General features: G+C 48.4%; 1 protein-coding gene and 1 long non-coding RNA gene across 2 annotated transcripts in view; one reads left to right on the forward strand and one right to left on the reverse strand.

Moving 5' to 3' along the window:
• The window catches only part of LOC107985434 (uncharacterized), a 29833-nt gene extending 11628 nt beyond the window's left edge, over window positions 1-18205 (reverse strand). The window contains exons 1-2 of the long non-coding RNA XR_001754692.2: window positions 18165-18205; window positions 15472-15603 (exon numbers count right to left, since the gene is read on the reverse strand). This is a non-coding gene — a long non-coding RNA (uncharacterized LOC107985434). The remainder of the gene's footprint in view (window positions 1-15471; window positions 15604-18164) is intronic.
• CIMIP1 (ciliary microtubule inner protein 1) lies at window positions 9676-19924 on the forward strand. Its single transcript, NM_178456.3, has 4 exons — window positions 9676-9806; window positions 12318-12399; window positions 14242-14343; window positions 19435-19924. The coding sequence occupies exons 1-4, from the start codon at window positions 9739-9741 to the stop codon at window positions 19594-19596; spliced, it is 414 nt and encodes a 137-aa protein (NP_848551.1). The 5' UTR covers window positions 9676-9738; the 3' UTR covers window positions 19597-19924.
• The last annotated feature ends 2230 nt before the right edge of the window (window positions 19925-22154 follow it).

Consider the following 22154-nt stretch of genomic DNA (forward strand, 5'->3'; position numbering starts at 1 on the left):
TGTGCAGGGGTTCTCAAGAGGTTTGGGGGAGAATTTTAGAAATGCTGGGGTAGGGAGCTGTTTGGGGATTATCACAATGCTAGCACCACTTGGTGTGCAAGGGAAAAGGCTTTCCCACAACATACAAGGCAGTCAGGACCCCAAAGCAAAGTCCCCACCCCAAGGACTTGGGAATAACCCACTGGATGTGCCTGTCAGTGAACATCCTGCTTCACATTATCTAAGCCTGGAACCACCTTCCCTTTCACACAGAAGTACAAGGTCTTCTCACACATAAAAATCCACAATGTTTCCCGTGCCACTTTATTTGGCTTTAGTTTCTCTGAAATAAAACTGCTGGATGCATTCAGTGAAAACCAAGAGTCGTTTCACAAAATCACATCACCAACAGCAATGTCACTGTGGTAGCTGAGTGGCCAATATGCTCTACTCTGAGTCAACAGCATCTGGGGTGGCACAGTGTCAGGGTGGCACAGTCACGAGGTGGCACAGTCTGGGGGGTGGCACAGTCAGGAGGATCCCACCCACAGGCCTGGCCACCTGCCCACCCCCCTTGTCTCGTAATGCAGCAAAGCCTGGAGGATTCCATCCCCATCATTCTATTTCCTTAGTTTATATTACTTTCCTCTTATTTCTCCTTGATTTCCTAGCTAGGGCATTATATTATCTCTGAATGTCATCACAAGACAGTGAAGGGGATGATACAAAATATCTGTTCTAAAGCAGGAGCACCAGCATGGCCAGGGCAGAGAGCCACCTGGACAATGAGTGACAACTGGCAATCCCCACCTGGCTCGGCAGCTGGGCTCCCGCGGGGGCATCCTGTTTATTTGGGCATCCTGATGAGAGACCAGAGCCAGGAGCAGTGGGACCCAAGGGTCCTTTGAGCCCAGGTCCTTCACTGGGGCCAAACAAGAACCAAGGAGATGGAGCTGCCTTCCCGGAGCACACAGTCACATAGGGACAGGAGTGGGGCTCAGGTGGGGCTGCCCCTCATCCCGTCAAGCAGAGGCCTCAAGGACAACAGGGGACCCTGTGATCCCCAGGAACTCAAGGTCAGTCTTGAAGAGTAAGGACCATGTGGACGTAAAATGGGTTTTGGGAAGAACCAGCAAAGGGCCAGAGGCAGGCTGAGCCTCCCACACTGGATGGGGAGTGGGCTGGACAATTGAGTTGAATGGCCAGGTTGTCTCAGTGCCCCCAAGGACAGCCCTGAGCCCAGGTTTCCACAGGCCCCCAGCACAATGAACTCACCAGCAAAACATCTTCTGCATTCAACCCAAAAGAAAAAAAATATATTCCTGTAAAACCTGTTCTGATTACGGCCAGCGTGATAAAGCTGATTGTCCCAGGAGATAAAAGCAAAATTGCACAGGGTCACCCCTTTTCCCTGAACAAGGCGCAGTGAACGCATCGCACCGTGACAGGGTCTTAAATACGAGATAAAGTGGAAGTGACAGCTGAGTTACAGGCAAACGAGAGCCAGATCATTGCGCATCTATAAATCAGGGAAACCCACCTCAGGCAGAGCCACGGAGTCATTCTGCTTTAATCCAGTCCAAACGTTGTGGTGTCTGCCCCGACCCTTGGGAGGCTCCACTCGTGGCATCCAGGCCCAGCCCCTGGTCCCACCTCAGAGCCACCTGTGACATGGATTCCACCCCCCGCCAACATCCCCAGGCCTCCACACCCCAGCAGCACAGGTTTGCCTGCCGCACCTTGGTCGTCTCTTCAGGAACCAACATGCCTCACTCTGGATCCATGTGGCTGGAGTGGCCATGGGGCCCCAGACTGCCCGTCAGCTTCTGTCCTCTGACCATGGTGACCACGGTGGCACGTGACCCACAACAGTGCAGTCGGCGCAAACCCTGAGACATGCGGAGGAGCAACGGGGAGGACAACAACCTCCATCCAACCTGGAGGTCCAGATGCCCTCAGTCATCAACAAGACTAATGTCAAGTATGCCTGGAATATATCTGTCTAGGCCCCTTAGATGGATAGTGGACAGGAATGTGTCATTTCCCAAAAAACAGTCTCAACAATTTGAATGATTATAAAGACAGTGAATGGCATTGCTATTTTCTGTGTTTTCCCACTCTCTCTCTCTGAGACTTGAGTGAAACGTATTTCAAATGAAAATTTGTGGGTATTTGTTAAGGGCCTACTGTATGCCTAGCTCCCTGTGTGGTGTAGGTCGGCACACAGAGTGACCTGCCTGAGATGGGCCAATGCAGGGGAGCACAGAGTCAAGAAGATCTGGTTCTGATGGCAATCCTTGAACCCCTGGATGCAGCCTTATCTGAAGCCTCTAGGCTCTTCAAACATGAGAGCTAAATAATCCCCTGTCTTCATGCAAAGCTGATTTGAGCTGACTCTCTAACCCTTTCAGGTAAGATAGTCCTGGCTGACACATTCTCCTCATTTCTCCCATACCCCCTGTATCTTTCTCTCCAACCCAAATGCTACTTCTGTGGCCTGGGCCTCATCACCACACATCTAGACATCAGCAAACCCCCTCCTAGGCCCCAACCTCCAGTGTTGCTTCCCAGCCCATTCTCCAGGCCAGAGGCACATACATAGAACAGGTCATAGTGTGCCCCTCCCAGACCAAAGCCATTCAAAGGCACCCAGTTAGGACAAAGGCCCAGCTGATAAGCAGGACAAATGTAGGGTTCTTATATTCATCAGGGGGTCTTTGGGAGACTCCAGCAGCAGGCTTCCTTTCTTCTTGGAGATTCCAAACTTCCTCTGATCCAGGAGGACTTGCAACTTCCTTGGGTATGTCTAGGTGACCCCAAGAGCTTGGAGCTCAGGACATCTCTTCTATCATGGACAGTGTCAAGGCATCACAAAAATTTTACAAACCCAAGAATCTCAACTTGCTCACTCTCTCCTTTTTTCTCTCTCCCAATCACAGAGGGAAAAAAAAAAAAAAACGCAGGTCAGCGAGGCCGACTGCAGATCACAGCCCCTTAACTCTGTACCTGCTGAAGTCCCCCCAGATTCCCATCCCAGCACCCCCGCTAATCCTCTGCAATGATTAGACGGTCAGGAACTGGGAGCCGTCGCAGCTGCGATTCTCATTAACTGAGTTTAAAAGACCTGGCACGTACAGAGCTCCTCTGTAATCACAGTGCCAGCAAATCTCTGAAATAATAGATATTTCCAACTTAGCCTTCTGGATTTCATAGAGCCCCCAAGCTTTCATTTAAAATCCATTTTATATGAAGTTATCTGAAAATGAACAATAGGAGTCTCAAAGAGATGTCTCCCCAGACACCGGTGTGAAGGCTGCTGAAAGAGATCAATCCACAAATCCATTTGCCTTTTAGATAAAACACACAGGGTCCCAGTGGGCTTGTCTCCACGTCCATGATAGGAAAAGAGCTCTCCTTGCCATGAAGATGGAGACCACAGTTCTTAACCACTTATGCCATTTCATGTCCTGGGTGAAGTGTCCATCCTCAGAATGGATAGAATAGCCTTCACTGGACAAAGCAGGGCCCACTATGTGCTGAGCACTCTCCAGGTGGCAGGGTCTGGAAGGAAGAGTGAGACTTTGACCCCAGACCATCCACTCGGGGACAGCCTTGCCCGTTGTTCACTCTGTGTGCCGACCTACACCACACAGGGAGCTAGGCACACAGTAGGCCCTTAACAAATACCCACACATTTTCATCTGAAATACCTTTCACTCAAATCTGAGAGAGAGAGAGTAGGAAAACACAGAAAATAGCAATGCCATTCACTGTCTTTATAATCATTCAAATTGTTGAGACTGTTTTTTGGGAAATGATACATTCCTGTCCACTATCCATCTAAGGGGCCTAGACAGATATAGTCCAGGCATACTTGAAATTAGTCTTGTTGATGACTAAGGGCATCTGGACCTTGGTTTCCATCTTTATAGCTGTGTGACCATGAGCAAGTGGCTCAACTTCTCTGATTCTGTATCTGCCTCTGCAAAATAAGAATGATCATAGTCTACATCATTGGGCTATTATGGGGATGAAATGCAATGATGCTTGGGAAATACTTATTGGAAGTGCTTAATAAATTTCAGCTATTACTTCTGCTACTGTCATCATCAGATTGACAGCTCAACCATGTACACAGTAGTACAAGTTTCCCTAGTGCCACCCAGTTGAGTAAACGAATGAACGGGTGTTGTAATTTTATGGAAAAAACCTCCTTCCACCTGCTTCTACCCAATGATCCAGTTTTCCTTCCAAACCCTCTGTCTGACCCTCCATGGGCCACAGAGTCCTCCCCATTGCCATCCCAGTTAAGTAAAATGGTCTGGAATCCTAGAGAATTACTGCACTTAAATTCCCAGTCAAGTTCAGTATTTGTGACTGAAACCTACATCTAACCCTTCAGAAGCCAAAGCTCCATTCCCCAACTGTCCACATTTCCAGCCAGGCTCCTTCCCAGGCATGGAAACTTCAGGGCAGATGGAAACGGGCTGCCCATTGCCAAAGCTCAGAATACCCTCTCCGCCTTCACCACTAATGGCGCCTGAAGAGGGCTCCCAGGCATTTCCCACCTTAAATGGCCAGGACCACTGAGTGGGATTCACACTTGGAAATCTAAGTTGGTTCTTTTCCCCTGGCGTCAGCTGACTATCTCTTCACACAGGGGTTGGGCTTTTCTCACCTCCCAAGAGCTGGCTTGAGAGATGTCAGGAGGAGAGAGGGGGATGAAATCCACCCTCAGCTTGGTGCGCAGCCTCTCATTGGAGCAGCATTGGATAATTAGGCCAAATAGAGGGCAGACTTACGAGGGAGCTTCCTGGGTGCAGCAGGAGGGGTGCAGCTTTGTTCTTCTTCAGTAAGACCCAGAGAGTGATGCTAATTGTTACTTTAGGTGTGTGGAGTGGAGACTATTTGTGAAGCAGGAGGGGAGTTCGTGGGCTGTGACTAAAGAGGGCATAATGAGTGTGAAAAGAGAAGAACCTCTGGGTCCCTTAAGCTGAAGCTCAGTTAAGCCATCCAATACATTCCCTACAAATTGGCACTTTCAGCTCCAGCCTCCATGCTTTTGTTGTGCAGTTGAGGTAATGATCACCCGTGCTGTGAGAAAGGCATGCAGGCTGGCAGAAACCACTCATGGCACAAAGCATTCTTTGGTTTAAAAAAAAAATCATAAAATAAAAAAGAAAGCTGTTTAAGCTTAAAAACTAAAAAAGAAGCGGTTGGCTCCAGTTGTCGACATGTTTTATAAAGCAACAGCAAAATGAAAAAAATAAAAAATAAACTGTCCCAGAGAACTGAGAGAGGGCCAAAAATATTAATACACGGGAACATGGCGAACCTTCTACAAGCTGTAAATATTTTCCTAGTTTCCCACGTGTAGTCAGCAAGTACGGCAGTTCTTTTTCTCTCTCCACTCTTCCTGTTGGAAATCTATGTGGAATAACAATTTTGCCAGAAAAAAAAAATATATTAGGTTGAAGAAATTGTGTCTGCCAGGGACTCATGAATTGGTTTCATATATCAGAGGGAGGGGGTTTCAACCCCCAGAGCGAGGAAAATGGAGGAGGATATACAAAACAAAGAAAAAGACCACCAGAGCTTAAAACTAAAAATAGAGTTTGATGTATGTGAATGTCTTAACTTGCCGAGCATGGGGCACGGACCAGTGAAGAAACTCACTGAGGGTGGGGTGGCACCGAAGGTTCAAGATGCCCAGATCAATTTGAATCGAGTGATTTCTCAGTAGAAGTACAGTACACCCCCATGCAAACTTGAGTTTAACTGGGCATCCTGTATTTTTATTTGCTGAATCGGGCCATACCGCTGAGTGGGAGAGGCATTTCAGTGGTTGGAAGAGGGGCTCCTGGTGGTTCTGCTAACGAAGGATTGATAACGCACATCCTGATTGGACAGAGCGAGCTTGTGGGTCCGTTCATAGTTGGTTGAAACAAGGAAGGAGTCTCAGGGGAGACCCAGGAGGTGGGCGTCTCAGGGTGTCTAAGTCTGCGTGTCAGCTGTAGTGACATATGGCAGGTTCTATGTGACCCCAACAGTGCTGCCAAAAGGGGAAACTTTGCCTTTTACAGACACCACCTCAGAAAAAGCTGGACCTGCACTGCTTCCTCAACCCTCACGTACTGCTGAGATTCACAGCCATGCTTCAGCCTTGAAAGTCATCTCGGAAGATAAAGCCATCTTCCCTGGTTACGAGAGAGAGGAAGACTCAGAAATGTCTGCTCCCCATCTTCCTCAGGAGTTCTGCCCCTAGGAAGGAAGGAAGAAGAGCTGCCCTCCAAGGCCAGGGTTCCTCACTGAGCCAGTTCTCCCTTCTGCAAAATGGTCACAAAGCCCTCTGCAAGGGGTTGCTGTGACCATCTGTATGAGATCATTCTCACATTGCTACAAAGAAATCCCTGAGACTGGGTAATTTATAAAGAAAAGAGGTTTCATTGGCTCAGTTTTGCAGGCTGTACAAGAAGTATAATGCTGGCATCTGCTTGGCTTCTGGGGAGGCCTCAGGAAGCTGCAATCACAGCAGAAGGCAAAGGGGAAGTAAGTACATCACAGACCAGATCAGGAGCAAGGGCCGGGGGAGGGGCCACACACTTTTAAACAACCAGATCTCGCGGGAACTCACTCGTGATCGCAATGACAATACCCAGGGGAAGGTGCCAAACCATTCATGAGAAATTCACCCCCATGATCCAATTACCTCCTATCAGGCCCCACCTCCAACACTGGGGATTAGAATTCAACATAAGACTTGCAGGGAATACAGATCCAGACCATCTCACCATCAAATCAGAGCATGCAGGGAAGTGCCCCACGGGGGCTGGGGAATGCTGGTGCCCTGAGGGTGACCAGGACAGCCTCAGACTCAGGGCAGAGCCCAGAGGAGCAGTCCCTGGTGAGTGCAGCTCTGGGTCCTCTCTCACCTCTTGAGAAAGGGGAACCCAGCCTTCCCTGGGGACAGCCTCCAGCCACCGGCCATCCACAGCCTCTCCTTCAACACTGTCATCCTCAAGAAGCAAACCCCACTTCCACCCAAAGCCACATTTCCATCTCCCCACGCCTTCCCCCAAATCGTAGTGTCTTAGATTGAGGGAACTGCCTGCACGCTGACAACAAATGTGATAAACCAGGAGTGAAGCCCTCCATTGTTTGGGAGCCCCGCTGTCAGGCTCCCGCAGAGCTCTCTGCCTTTGCTCCTCTCAGCCTCTGCAGATCCCTAAAATTGGGAGGTGTAGTCATGATCCCCTTTTCCAGATGAGGAAATGGGGGCTCAGAGTTGTTAAGCAATATGCACAAGGTCACTGAGATGGCACACAGCAAACCCGAGACCTGAGCTACGTCGGATCCCAAAACCCAGACATTTATCCGGTACTCTACCCATTTCTAGTCCTGGACCCAGGCTACCCCGTGCAGATATTGCCAAGGAGAATGGAGAAGACTAGCAAACTCTTATTCATCCTTGAAAACCCAACTCACTCATCACCTCCTCTGTCCTCTTCTGTCTCATCTGGGGCTGGCTCTGAATCACATATACCCTATGTCATTTCGTATATAAGGCTGCGTTATCATTTAGTTGCATTCACATCTGCTTACCTGCTAGATTGAACTCCTGGGGGACGCATAGTGCCTGCTTCTCCATTTCTGCACCCATTTCATTTCCATGGAACCCTCCAGCTGCACCGGCCCCCTTTGCATTCTTCAAACACCCCATGCTGCTCCTGCCTCGGGAACTATACTCCACACCACCCGCTCTGTGGGAAATTCTTCTGATCTTCCACACCAGATCTGCACCCACATGTCTCCTCCTCAGAGAGACCTGCCCTGACCGCCTGTTTAACACAGCCCCACAGCCCCTGGCCTGTCCCTGCCCCCACTGGCCTCATGCCCTGGTGTGACTCTCTTCCTAGCACGTCATGCCTCTCTCCCTGGCACCAGGTCACACGTGCATTTGTTTCCTGGCTTCATTATCTGTCTTCCCACTCGATGTGCCAGCTCCAGGGAAGCAGAGACCTTGCAGGTCTGACTCCCTCCTGGCACCAGACACATCAAAAGCTCTCAACACACGTCCATAGGATGAAGGAACCCTCGATGTCTGGCACTGTTAATGAATTTAGTCTTAATTAATCATCTTAACAGAAATGTCTCAAAACCTCCCAAGGAGGAAAGCAGAATTTGTTCTTACTACATAATGGATCTTTCTTCCTAGCCATCCACTTATTTCCTCCCAGAATATCTTCCCCTCTGTTGTAAGAATGGAGACCTTGGAGAACAGTCCAGGAAGAAAATCCCAGCTTCCTGCCTAGAGATCTGTCCACCCTCTTGCTAGCCCACTAGCTTGCAGTTGGCTCAGCCGTGGACCTGGGATGTTATATATTCATTAATTAATCAATTCAGCTCCGATGCCAGCCTCTGCTTGCCCACTCACTAATCCAGCTGAGGGACAGTTGGGACCACCCTAATACTGGGCGTGGGCCAGGCATTTCCAACAGCCAAGAAAAGCACCATGTGCTATGAAGGGAAAACACACTAGCTGAGCTCCCCTCTAAACACCACACATAAGTACAAATCTGTTGATAAGGGAAGAGGCCATGGAGATGGACTAGGGAGAGTCTCAGATACCTAACTGGTGGATACACACACTGGCATCCTCCCAGACCAGTGCCCTGGTAATTATCTAGGAGGTGACCTGTAGCTCAACTGAGTCATGCTTCCTCCTCTCTCAGTCCCCCGAGGCAGGCTCTGGACACCTGCTCATCTCATGGCTGCTCAGCCAGAAAAATGTCCTCCTACATCGTGTAGATGATCCCCTTGCTGTTGTCTCAGAGCCATTTTCCAGCTCTGGGTCCACAACAATGGGGGTATGGTAGAAACCTAGGGGGTCAATGAATCAGTCAAAAAACACTGGCTGAGCACCCCAGCGATAGAGTGATTACTGCCTATAGGCAGGGAAAAAGAGTGTGGGGTGGTGGGGTCTGGAGGTAACATTATCCGTGAATTTCATTTAGGGATTGTTACAAAGAGTGGACGCCAACCAAAACGCATATTTTCTCCAAAGACATGTGCAGTAATATTTTAGCAGCACTTTTGTGGTGGCCAAAAACTCAATGCAACGCCCATCAGCAAATACTGTTCAGGAGCAGAAATGGACGCTAGGGCCACTCACAGCAACGGGGATGCTCTCTCAATCATGACACTGGGCAAAGGCAGCCAGGCACAAAGGAGAACATCTGGATGGTTCCACTCACACAAAGTTCAAATCACAGCAAAGCTAATCTTTGCAGAGGGAAGTCAATGAGAGCCAGGGAGGACGGTGACCCTGGGGGCCACTGGGGGAGGCTGGCAATGCTTTGTTTTCTAATCTCCAGGTGACGGTTACAGGCGAGTCCTCTCTTTGACATACTCAATTAAGCTCTGTACACTTGAGCGTCTGTCCACTCGTAGGTGTGCATACTTCCACTGCGGATTTAAACTTTCAAAGAAGTCTAGGGTGTTAGGTCTGGAGGTTTCCCCAAGGTTTTCCACAGATGAGCAAATGGGCCTAGAGGTGGACAAAGGGCCCAGACGTGAGCAAAGGATGGCAGCAAGCCCGGACCCAAGCGACGCGGCGAAAGCACAGCGACCCCACCCTCGCCAGGTGCAGAGCCATTTCCGCCTCCGAGTCCTGCGTTGCCTGGCAACCGGTCTCCCAGGAGACGCGAGACGCTGAGCCCAGGGCCAGAGCTTGCGGGGCGCACAGAGCCCCCAGGCCTCATGGCGCAGAAACCTCTCAGCACCGCGGCGGCTGAACGCATGAACCTTGTGGGTCAGGATGAGATCTGGTAACGCCTGGGATCGGGCAACGCGGTGGGCTCCTGTTCTCACCTGAAGTGTCCACATCTGGGGTCTCAGTTTCCCCACCAAGTCCGGGAAGTGATCGACCACTAAACTCGAGGGGCAGAGGGGCGTGCGCTGAGGATGGTCAGGGGCCTTGAGGAAAGGGGTCAATGTTAGGGACATGAGAGCGACAGGAGGGCCTTTCTCCGTCTCCTTCTCCCTCTCCTGTTGGGCCCACCACGAAGACGTGGGAGATTGGCTTTCAACAATCAGCAGAGATTGGCTTGTTGAAATCCAACTAACATGTTCATGTTTTTTTTTTTTCTTCAAATCTCAGCATCCAACCAGAACGTGTTCATGTTTTTAAGACTGATGATTTTTGTTTGTTTGTTTGTTTGTTTTTTGAGATGGAGTCCTGCTCTATCCTCCAGGCTGGAGTGCAGTGGCGCGATCTCGGCTCACTGCAACCTCTGCCTCCTGGGTTCAAGCAATTCTCTGCCTCAGCTTCCCGAGTAGCTGGGATTACAGGCGCCCACCACCACACCCGGCTAATGTTTTTGTATTTTTAGTAGAGACGGGCTTTCACCATCTTGGCCAGGCAGGTCTTGAATTCCTGACGTCGTGATCCACCCGCCTCGGCCTCCCAAAGTGTTAGGATTGCATGCGTGAGTCACCGCGCCTGGCCAAATTTTTTTTTAAAAAAAGAAAGCAAAAATCCTAATATTTGTTAAATTTGAATGAAGTACATGAAAATCCCTTGATTCTCCTGGGTTTTTAAGTAATATATTTTAACTTTAAAGATACATCCATTTTCTAAAAGATGTATGTCTAGCAGACATTTGTCGTGGATATTTTAATTGGCATGCTATCTGCTACGTATTATTGCATCTCTTTGAAAGTTTAACTCATATGGGAATTTACAGATTTAGATATAAGTAAGTTGTAGTAACAATAAAACATACTTGTTTACCTTCTAAACTTCAGTTATCCTATTTACCCTCTCTATAATTTTTACCATTTCCTTGTAAAACCTCTATTAGTCACTTCATATGTGTCTTTAAATTGTTTTCACTTGATGATTTTATGGAAAACTTCATATCACTCTCATAAATAGAAAACCTTTATCATTTGGCATAAAATACACAACTATTTTTTACTAAATCTTTATCCAAGTGTCCCAATAGGAGATGCTGCCACAGCAGGATCTGTTCCCTCTGTCTGAAATGCCCCTTCCTCTCTTCTTCACCATACAAACTTCTGCTCATCCTTCAAGACCCAAATCTAAGTGACCCCTCCTCTTTGAATAGGGCCCTTGGCTACCTAACACTTAAATTGTAACTGGTCCAAATTGGGTTCAGCCGTTAAGTGTAAACTGCGTGACAAATTACGATGATTTATTTAAAAAAAAAAAAGATTATTTAAGTGACTGTCAGCCGGATGCAGTGGCTCACACCTGTAATCCCAGCACTTTGGGAGGCCGAGGCCAGGAGTTGAAGACCAGCCTGGCCAACATGGTGAAACCCCATCTCTACTAAAAATACAAAATTATCCAGGCATGGTGGCACACACCTGTAATCCCAGCTACTCAGGAGGCTGAGGCAGGAGAATTGCTTGAACCCAGGAGGCGGAGGTTGCAGTGAACCTAGATTGTGCCATCGCACTCCATCCTAGGCAAAAAAAAGGCGAAACTCCATCAAAAAAAAAAAAAAAAAAAAAAAGACTGTCACCTGTTTATTCTTATGTTCTTTTTAATGTAGTTACTAGAACATTTCAAATTGTGTATGCAGCTCATGTTTGTGGCTTATGTTACATCTTGATTGAAATAGACTCTGCCTTAGATGCTCACTGCCCAGGGCAAAGAGTTGACCAGGGTCTCCGAAACTGTGGGGTAGGGATATGCTGATATTGATTCCAAGATAGAAGAAACTAGAAAACTCAAAACGATTGAATGTTTAATTTGATGTTTGCAAAATGTGGCACGTGGGCTCGTCTACTGCAATGCCACTCAGCTCATGGGTAGTTAGATATAAACAATATTAGCATGGAGCAAAAGCAAGGTCGGATTAGGGTGGGGCAAGTGAGGCACTTGCGCTGCAATATTTAGGAAATGCTCCACGTCAAGGTCATGCAGACGCTGTCTCTGCACTTGCAGGAAGCAGGGAGTGAGTGCCTCCTCCACTTTTGCACCTCCTCAAATTTTGAGTCATAAGGGCCTCCAAAATAAGAGATCTGGTACCTAGAAGGCTCCTCAGGCAGAATCGGCCCCCAGACTGGCCCTTACCCGGCATTCCCTCTCAGCCGTAACAGCCAACCAGCATCTCTCTTTCGTTAGCCACGTGTCTCCCTTGCTGGTGGGAGGTGCTCAGCATCAGAGGTTCTCACGCTGTCTGGCTCCTCACTCCGTCCCTGGTGCAGAACCACTGCCCAGTCAATGTTCGTGGAGAATGGAAATGTCCCCCACAGACCCCTTGAACCTTTTTCCGTGTTGCCCAGCACTCAGGAACTTTCTTTTTCAGGAAATACCGTCTGAAGGCTGAATCGGAAGCACGGCAGAACTGGCCCCAGAACTGGGGGTTTTTAACAACCCCTTTTGAGGAGGTAAATATAAATTGTATGAGCCCCAAGGTTACAGAATCAATCATTTCAAAGAATGAATGATTACAAAGTCTATCACTTGCAAGAATAAAACTAAAGAGCATGTTGTAGGCAAAGATCACTAACTCCTAAACCAGAAGGTTCCCGCCTTTCACAGATTCCTGGGCACTGACCACATGCCAGGCATGTTCTAGGTGCTTCGGCAGAACCAGATGATCAAATCTGGACAAGAACCCCGGTGCAGAGACAGGTGTTGTTTTATGCCCATTTACAAATTAGGAAATTGAGCTCCAAGACCTGCAAAGTCACACAACTGATAAGGACCCTACTCAGGTGAGAAGCAGGTGGGTCTGATGCCACAGCCACCTGACCTCAGACTTCCCATCTGTAAAGTGGGATGAGAGTCCTCACCTGCCTAACTGAGCGACTGTGAGGTGCAGATACAAGAAGGCTATGGACACCTCACCTGGCCTGGAGGCCAAGTGACATATGAGGGATTCTTGGGAAAATGCTGTCGGTATTCCCTAAAGATGACAAGTCCAGAAGTCTACAGGGACCAGCTAGGTGACAGAAACAGGAGACAGGGCCAAGCATAATTAATCAGAAGGGGTGGAGACTCAGGCAAAGAGGCCACTGGTCCTGTCCAAAGAGGCAGCCAGCATGAGCCCAGCCAAGTGAAACCATATGGGAAAGCCAACTGCATATTCCCATCACTCAAGAGAGTCCAGAAAGCCAGATGTTTACATGAAATTTTCTGAGTCTAGAAATGAAATGCTTATGTGGGTTCTGGTGGGGTGGTGGCCACCAATCTGCAACCTCTCAAACTTCAGGACAGAACACAAGAGATGCAGAATTAATTAAAACACCACATCAGTCAAAGTATCTATGATTCACAGCAGTGTAAAGCCCATTTGTAATTCATCCCATCCTACGAGCTTTGAAATTATGCTGTTCTTAATGAGGGTGTTTTTAATTCTTAGAGGGTTCCACAGTTTGAAATTTTATGCATAGAATGAGTTCTTATTAATATAATATGCATAAGGAGTCTATATTAATATTCTTTATATGTAATTAAATTGGGTTTTCAAAAAGCTTGATATTGCTTGAAAAATTAAAAAGGGGAGTGGACGCTCTCCTCTAATATTTTAAAGTTCGGTCCTGAAAACTTTTTGGCATTTTTTGTTAGTTTGTTTGTTGTTGTTTGAGACAGGGTCTGGATCTGTCACCCAGGCTGGAGTGCAGTGGCATGATCTCAGCTCACTGCAGCATCCACCTCCAGGCTGAAGCCATCCTGTCACCTTGGCTCCCAAGTAGCTGGGACCACAGGCACATGCCATCATGCCCAGCTAATTTTTGTATTTTTTGAAGAGATGGAGTCTTGCTAAGTTGCCCAGGCTGGTCTTGAACTCCTGAGCTCAAGCAATCCTCCCACCTCGGCCTCCCAAAGTGTTGGGATTACAGGCATGAGCCACCACACTCAACCCTTTTTGGCATTTTAAAACTTGAGTCCGTAACTGGTAACGTTTTCTCAAATTCCCCCACAGGGGATGTAAATCAGGAGGCTGTGGTGAGCAGCAGGAGGGGATGGAGATGGGTCTCAGCTTTGGGTGCAGCAGGCCTGCGTTGAGGTCCCCACCCTACTTTCCTAACGGTGTAACTAAGACAAGCCTCTGCCTCCCATTTCCATGCCCCACTTCTGTGTCTATAAAATGCGCCTTCTAGGGGAAGCAATGGGGAGGACACTCCCCCAGCTTCACCTGAGGCTTCCCGTCTCTGGGGATTCTGTTTCAGTACATTTCCCCCAGCTTCACGTAAGACTTCCCATCTCTGGGGATTCTGTTTCAGTTGATCAAGTGTGAAGAAGATCTCCCCACCCCAAAGCCCAAAATCGAGCTTCCTGAGCGTTTCCGCATCCGGCCGGTGACCCCAGTGGAGAAGTACATCAAGGTTTGAAACGTTTTTAAATACTCATTTTTTTAAAATACTCATTTTCCTAAGTAAGAAATAAGCCCCAGTGGAAACTGATGGCTCCAGATGTGCAAAGCCAGCACTGAAGGTAAGAGCACAGCAGTGCCAGGTGCAGAGTCCAGGTCCACGTCCTTCCCAAACCCAGCCATGGGAAACATGCCAGGCTAAAGTCTACAAGTGCAAGCACCATGACCTCCTGCTCTGCAGAAGCAGAGAGAAGGCAGGAAAATGGGGTCTTCATGCGTTCTTTCAGCAAACATTTCCAGGGTGTGGGCAGGAAGGCAGGGCAGACCCAGGCAGGGACTCTGGAATCAGACCACCAGATCCCTGTGCTGATAGGCTGCTCACCTTCTGTGTGGTCTTGGGCAAGTGGCTTGACCTCTCTGTGTCTCCCCTGCCTGTCTTATACAATGGGGGTTAATGAAGCACCTACTTCAGGGAGTACCCTCAGGGTTCAGCAGGCTGCCCAGCATGTTTAGAGAGTGCCGATGACAGTCAGCTATTACTAAGGTGCAACAGCTTGGTTGGGAAAACAGTAATGAACAAGAAGGCAAGACCCCAGCCCACATGTCTGGGTCTAGAGAACCAACATTAACCAAGAAAATCAACACCATTTGGATACGCTATGCTAGCACCATGGAGGAAACAGGCCGGTGGTGTGTCACAGGATAAGAGAGGGCGGGGTGGTCAGGGAAGGGGCCCTTTGAGCTGAGGACTGAAGGATGACCAGGCACCAGCCCTAGGAAAAGTATTCTAGGCGCAGGGAACAGCATGTATGAAAGCCCTGAGATAGAACACAGGCTGCTATGTTTCAGGAACAGCAAGGCAAGGCGATGCGACAGGAGCTTGGGTGGAGGGTGGGGGCAGGAGGAGAAGGTGTGGGTGGAGAAGGGATGTGAGTGGAAAAGTGGGCAGGCTAGAAGAAGGAGTTGCAATTGGAGTCCAATTTAGAGAAGCCGCTGGAGGGTTGTAAGCAGGGCCATGGAAAGGCAAGACCTGCCTATTGGAAAGATGGCTCTCATTGCTAGTGGAGAAAAGATTGTGGGGAGAGGGACAGGAGTGACCAGGCCAAACCCAGAGAAAAGAGGCCTTAGACGATGCTCTCACCTGAAGCCTGCACCACGGCGGACATGGCTCAGATCCCTCTAGAAACAGTTGAGCTCCATATGTCTCATGGGTCTGTCATTTTGGCTGGGAGTTCTGCCCTCTGCCCAGCTATGGAGAAGGTGGTTCTGCGTGCTGATGGGGAGAGCAGATGAAAACCCAAGATGAAGGCCGCAGGGCAGGAGGAGTTCAGCTGCAGCCTTTTGCCTGGCATGCTCGTGGTCTGATGGGGTAGCTGGCACATAGTGAGCATTTGGGGGGTATGCATCTGTGAGCCCCAATGAATGAATGAATGAATGAGCTCCACTGAGTTATGTTGACAGTTTTTACCCCAAATATAAAGCAATATAGAGTCACTGCTAAAAAATATTTAGAAATACACCAAAATATAATATAATTAAAACCCACATATAGGCTCTTACCCATGATTAACATTTTGGGGGTGCTCCTTCCAGAGGTTTTCCTACACATCCCTTGACCTGTAAGAGTAACCACCCCACCAGCTCAAGCTATTATTATCTCTTAGCCGCTCACCGTGGTGACTGCTTTACATTGGGTGTCTCATCTTACTTCCACTGCAGCCCCGGATATTATCATCCTCAAACCCATTTTGCAGATGGGAAAGCTGAAGCTTAAAAAAGCTGAATTCCTTTCTCTGGCCACACAGCAAGTGTGTCTGATTCCAGAGCCCTGCTTTTAAATGTTACCCTCAAATATTCCTCAAATGTATGTTCATGTATACGTATATACACACTTGTGCACATACACACATACTTTTTAGGTATATGTTTACAAATCAAACTACACAGGCTGCTTTGTAATCTCATTTTTCCACCTAACAACATACCCTGGACATCTTTCCATGCAGTTTAAAAAAGCACTCTAAATAGCTATTATATTAATGGCTGTGTTTTTCTCCACTGTGTGGATCTGTCATAATTTATTTAACCATCCCCCTATTCCTGGCCATTGAGGTTGTATCCGGCATGAGATTTGGGAGAATAATCGTGCAAGGAACACCTTGTAGACACAGAAATTTGCTCTGAGTCCGTAATTTTCTTGATATTAGTGCCTACAAAGGTGATTGTTCAGATGAAATGCACACATTTAGGGAGCTCGCTCTCCTGTGGCCTAGAACACTGGGCTGGCCGGAGAATAGAGGAAGAGAGACTGGGATGTAGGTGGGACATTTTTCCAGAGCTGGGCTTTAATTCTGCCAACTCCCTGCCTCCACCTGCCTCCATCCCAAGAATACGGTGGCATGGGATCTGCTTAGTGTCTATAATGTCCCTCAGCCACATGCTGTCCCCACAGATCCCTTGCCGGCCCATGAGACTGGACTTTCCCTCTGCCACCAGGGCCCCTGGGCCTGCTCTGCACAACCACAGTTATTCTCTTTCCAAAGAAAGCGCCCCCACCTAGATACCAGAGAGGTGCCCCTCCTGGAGGATGGGAAACAGGGAGGAACCATCCAGGCACCAGAACATACCAAAACATGGTTATCTCCTGTGAGAGACTCCTGTCTAGGAGCAAGGGCCAGCTCTTAAAGCCACACTCACCAGACAGAGCCTGTGGGGTGGCAGGGGTAAGGACAAGAACCTTGATTCAGGCGAGAAAGGTCCCCAGCCTCTGCTTCCCTCCAAACTTCCTTTCTTGCCCAAGAAATGGTAATGGTGGCCGGGCCAGTGGCTCAAGCCTGTGATCCCAGCACTTTGGGAGGCCGAGACAGGCGGATCACGAGGTCAGGAGATTGAGACCATCCTGGCTAACACGGTGAAACCCCATCTCTACTAAAACTACAAAAAATTAGCCAGGCATGGCGGTGGGTGCCTGTAGTCCCAGCTACTCAGGAGGCTGAGGCAGGAGAACGACGTGAACCCGGGAGGTGCAGCTTGCAGTGAGCCGAGATCGTGCCACTGCACTCCAGCCTGGGCGACAGAGTAAGACTCCGTCTCAAAAAAAAAAAAATGGTAGCTGGTTTCCTTCTTCCACCTTTCTTCCACCTTCCTATCCTCTCATTGGTGACCAAAGCCTTTAAAAATATATTTATTTTTAATAGGTAACCTTGATACCTAAAAGGGCATCTGATGAGATGCCTCCCTCCCTCTGGACCCCTGGAGCCACTGTCACCCATTTGTCACGCACTCTTGCATAGACAAGGACATCCATGGGCCTCTGGCCTCATTTTCTTATTACACAGCTTGTACCATACTTTGAATAGTTTTGTGCACCTCTTTTCTCTTAGAAGTTTGTCTCATCCTTCTAAACCATTGCATGGCACACCACACATTGCATGGATGGGCCATAGTGAATGAGCCTCCGTGGGTGGATATGCAGCTTATGTCCAATTGTTTGCTATTACAAACAGCTCCGCAAGGCATCCCTTGCACCATCATGGGTGTGTACCTGTGTAGCTATCAGGATATTTTAGAATGAATGCCTCAGAGTAGATTGTTAGGTCAAAGAGTGTTTGCATCTGCACTTTCTTCTTTTTTTTTTTTTTTTTTTTTGCATCTGCACTTTCAAAAGATAATTGCCAGGCTGGGCATGATGGCTCATGCCTATAATCCCAACACTTTGGGAAGCCAAGGCAGGTGGATCAACTGAGGTCAGGAGTTCGAGACCAGCCTGACCAACATGGTGAAACCCTGTCTCTACTAAAAATACAAAAATTAGCTGGGCATGATGGCACTTACCTGTAATCCCAGCCACTCAGGAGCTGAGGCAAGAGAATCACTTGAACCCAGGAGGCAGACGTTTCAGTGAACTGAGATTGCGCCATTGCACCCTAGCCTGGATGACAGAGCAAGACTCCGTCTAAAAAAAGGAAAAAAAAAAAAAGATAATTGCCATATCGCCCTTGCTCCTATAATGCCCTTGTTAGTGGTGGTGTTTTCATCTTTTTGCCCCTCTGCTGGGTGAAACATGATGTCTCACAGTGGATTTCAACTGCATTTCTTTTACAAGTTAGATAAAGACTTGGAAGTTAGTCTGTGTGCTCCCAAAGGCCTGGCTGGACAAACAGCTTTGAGAGCTGCTTCCCTTCTGAACAATTTTACTTGTAGCTGGTTCAAGGAAGCTTTGGCCCCTCTGTCATTTGTTGATGACCCGCCCTACATGTAGCCTTGCAGGAGACTAATTTTAGGAGTTCATCAAGAACATATGCTAAGGGGTTTCGTCCACCAGCAGCAGCCAGCCCACTCGGGACCATCCCCTCCTGCCACCGCCTCACCGGCAGGTTCCATTAGTAAAAGTGAACTCATAACCCCAAGCATATTAAACCTCTTTATCTCAGTTCTTCTGCTAGAACAAATGTCCCGCACTGTTGCCTTTGTTCAAATCCCCTTATGCAGAACAGATTATTTCAAAAGAAGGGGAAAACCTGCCTAAACATTTACCCTCATTTTCCAAAAATGTCAAATCTGTCCAAGGAGTTGACAAATGAAGTTGTGTTTTTTCATTCCAGATAGAAGCCCATTTTCCTTTTGGTTTTTAAAATTAAATTCAGTTGCTTTTCATTCCTGTGATCTCCACGGTTTGGAGTGTGTGTGTATATACAGATGCATTTCGTAGAGGCTTCTCATCGAAACAGGGTGACGTGCACCTGCCGCAATGCCATCTGACAACAGTGCCATATATTTTATAAAAGGCAGTGAAAACTGTAGCACTTGATATTTCTGCATCTTTTTTTCTTTTTGCTTTCTTACCAAATAAAAATTATTTTGCTGGAAGTCATGAATTAAATATGTTAGGCATTACACGATAAAGAAACATGTTTGATGTTCCTCACTTCCCGGAAAGATGAGAGCCTCTGAGTCCAGCTGATTGGAATGTGCTTGTTTTCAGTACACATCAGGGAGGCTGGCTTTTCTTTCTGTCTTTTCCACCCCTGCCTCACATGCCGATGCTGGGTGCCTCGTGTCTCTGTGGCCGAAGGTCACTAAATCCCCTGTATTTCCATTCCAGGTCTTTCCATCCCCCCCAGTCCCACAGACCACCCAGGGCTTCATCGGCTGGAGATCTGCAGTGCCAGGCCTGAACAAGTGCCTAGAGCTCGACGATGCGATCAGAAGCTGCAAAGGTGCTTTTGCACGAGAGCTGTGCTGGCCCAAGCAGGGCGTGCACTGAATCCAGACGGAGTTCTGCCCAGGGGTGCTGCATATCGGTCACCAGGCACCCAGGGCCATGCCAGGGAAAGGAAGAGCTCCCCTGAATCCCGAGGACACAGTCCCCTGCGTACTTGCTCATGGGATGTTGCAAAGAACACAAAGTGTGCCTTAGACATTCTCAAGTCATCAGCGTCACCCTTCCAGAATGTTCACGTCCACACCCATTCTTGGCTAATGTAATGAATAAGGCTTCTCTCATTTGTTTTTGATACCTTGGGAATTTCTATGCAGGGCTTTAAAAAAAAATAAGTGATTCAATTTTAAAAATATTTGTCTAGGTCCTTCAATGTAGCTTTTCATTGCACCTATCATCATCCTTATTTATAACGAACTTGTTGATCAGGTGTTTCTCTATCCAGATATCCCTGGGCCTGTTTTTCAGGAAGAAGAATACACTTAGAGAATCCCTTGGCTCTCCTTGCTCAAGATATTTGCAATAAGTTAACAGCTTTAAAGGCAGAAATGAGCCCAAGATTTGCCACTGGGCGTAGATTCACAGGAGAAAAATGGGTTTCCCAATCCCTCTAAGAAAACCACTGCTGCTGACCTGTCCCAGCCACCCCCAGTCCAGCACAGAAAGCTCCAGGCTGCCCAAATGGGTCATTTTCCTTCCCCGAGTACATCAACCCCACAGTTACCATTTTCTTTCTAAACACTGTCTAGCTGTCTCTCTTCTCCTACTCCTACAAATGGGGGCTGGGGGCATGGAGTGTCCAGCTGGCCAGAAGGAAAAGCCGGCATGTCCTCAGGCCTCATGAACTGGACCCCAAAAAGTAGGAGAGCAGAGTTTGCAGCAGCCTGTGGGAGCTGGTTTGTGTTTCATTTCCAAGGAGTGGGGGGTTGGCGCGCTCTTCAGACCCGGCGTAGACAGGGCAGGAGGGGCTGTGTTCAGTTACCCATCCTCCGTGGAAACACAGGCCTTCCTCCCCTTTGTTGGTCAGGCCTCACTGTTCCTGGGATGGATTCCTCCATTTGTTTGGCTGACTGGGGCCTGAGGGGACTTCCACTGGGTGGCACCCATTGACAAGGCCCATCCACCCAAACATGTCCTGTTCACCTTCCTGTCCAGCCATGGGTGGGTGTGCTAGAGCCAACCCAGGAATCCCTCCACTAAGGCCTCTGAGAACCTAAGTCCTCTAAGCCCTGAACACTGGCTGTCACCCCTCTGGCATGTTCCTAAAGGGACTCCATGATTTGAGGGTCACTAAATACCAGGGGACAGAATTCCTATCAAATCTGGGTCCTCCCCTGCAAGCTCTGGGCTCAGAGCCCCCAAATCTCAGAAGCCCCAGCAGAAGAGCTTCTCTTATTCAGGGACTCTGTTCTTGTAAAAACTACCAGCCTTCCTCTTTCCAAGGGTCTGGCTGTAGACACCAACTACTCAGTGCTGAGAACAGAGCCACATAGCAGAAGGCTTCTCCCAGCCACCTAAATGGTTCTCTGTCTCCCCACACCCCTTGTCCAACCCCAGAGTGGGAAATTCCTAGATTGGCATGGGCTGCCCAGCCCAGAAGAGCTGATACCCAAGAGAACAGCCCTTCAAGGAGCCTTGTCGTTACCTCCGAGTATGGTGCCCACACACATCGCTGGGCATAGGGGCCAGGGCCATCAAGAAACATCATGGCTATTTAGGTTCTGAGAAAAGGGGGAGCAAGGTATTTGGTTGAATTGTGTCCCCCAGAAAGATATGAAGTCCTAGCTTCCAGTACCCATGGAGGCGAACTTACCTGGAAATAAGGTCATTGCAGCTGTGATTAGTTAGATGAAGATGAGGTCCTATAGAAGAAGGGTTGACTCTTTATCCAGTGTGATCGGTGTCCTCATGAGAAGAGGAGAGAGTGACACGCAGCGGGGACACGGTCATGTGGAGACACAGACATGCAGGAGAGGGCACCATGCCACACCAGAGGCAGAAATGGGAGGGATGCATCTACCAGCCACAGAATGCCAACATTTGCAGGCAAACCACGAGAAACTAGGAAGAGGCGAGGAAGGATTCTACCCCATAGATTTCAGAGGGAGCATGGCCCTGCCGATGCCTTGACTTCAGACTTCTGGACTCTGGAACGGTGACAGAACACATTTCTGTTGCTTTATGCCACCTCATTTGGGGTACTGGGTACAGCAGCCCCAGGAAATAAATATGGCCTTGAACACATGTTACCTCCTCCTCTCCTTCCCTTCTCAGAAGACATCCTCCTCTAACCATGTGTCTTTCACTGGTCTTGACCCGGGCTGAATCTATAACAGACAGATCACATGGCCCCTCAAACTCCAAAGATGTTTCTAATCACCCAGAGGTTTAGCCTGATGTAGACTAAACAACTGAATGCTTGGCCAAGCCTGTCCCTATTAAATCCTAATGTTTTGGCATCCAAGTCATTGCTGCAGGCAAAGCATCTGCCCTTGGAGGAACATTTGTCCCTTCTTGTGATCAGACACCTCCACCACAGTCAAGCAGTGGCCAGAAAGCGGGATTGCTTTGTGCTGACCTCTGTCTCAGCCGCATTTCCATCC

The sequence above is a fragment of the Homo sapiens genome, chromosome 20 (assembly GCF_000001405.40).
Source record: "Homo sapiens chromosome 20, GRCh38.p14 Primary Assembly".
Taxonomy (NCBI): Eukaryota; Metazoa; Chordata; class Mammalia; order Primates; family Hominidae; genus Homo; species Homo sapiens.

Excerpts from the sequence above, each read along its gene's own strand:
- CIMIP1 (NM_178456.3), top strand. The coding sequence starts at position 9,739 with ATGGCGCAGAAACCTCTCAGCACCGCGGCGGCTGAACGCATGAACCTT. Across the intron at positions 12,400-14,241 it reads TAACAACCCCTTTTGAGGAG|TTGATCAAGTGTGAAGAAGA; the intron begins GTAAATATAAAT and ends ATTCTGTTTCAG. Across the intron at positions 14,344-19,434 it reads CAGTGGAGAAGTACATCAAG|GTCTTTCCATCCCCCCCAGT; the intron begins GTTTGAAACGTT and ends TTTCCATTCCAG.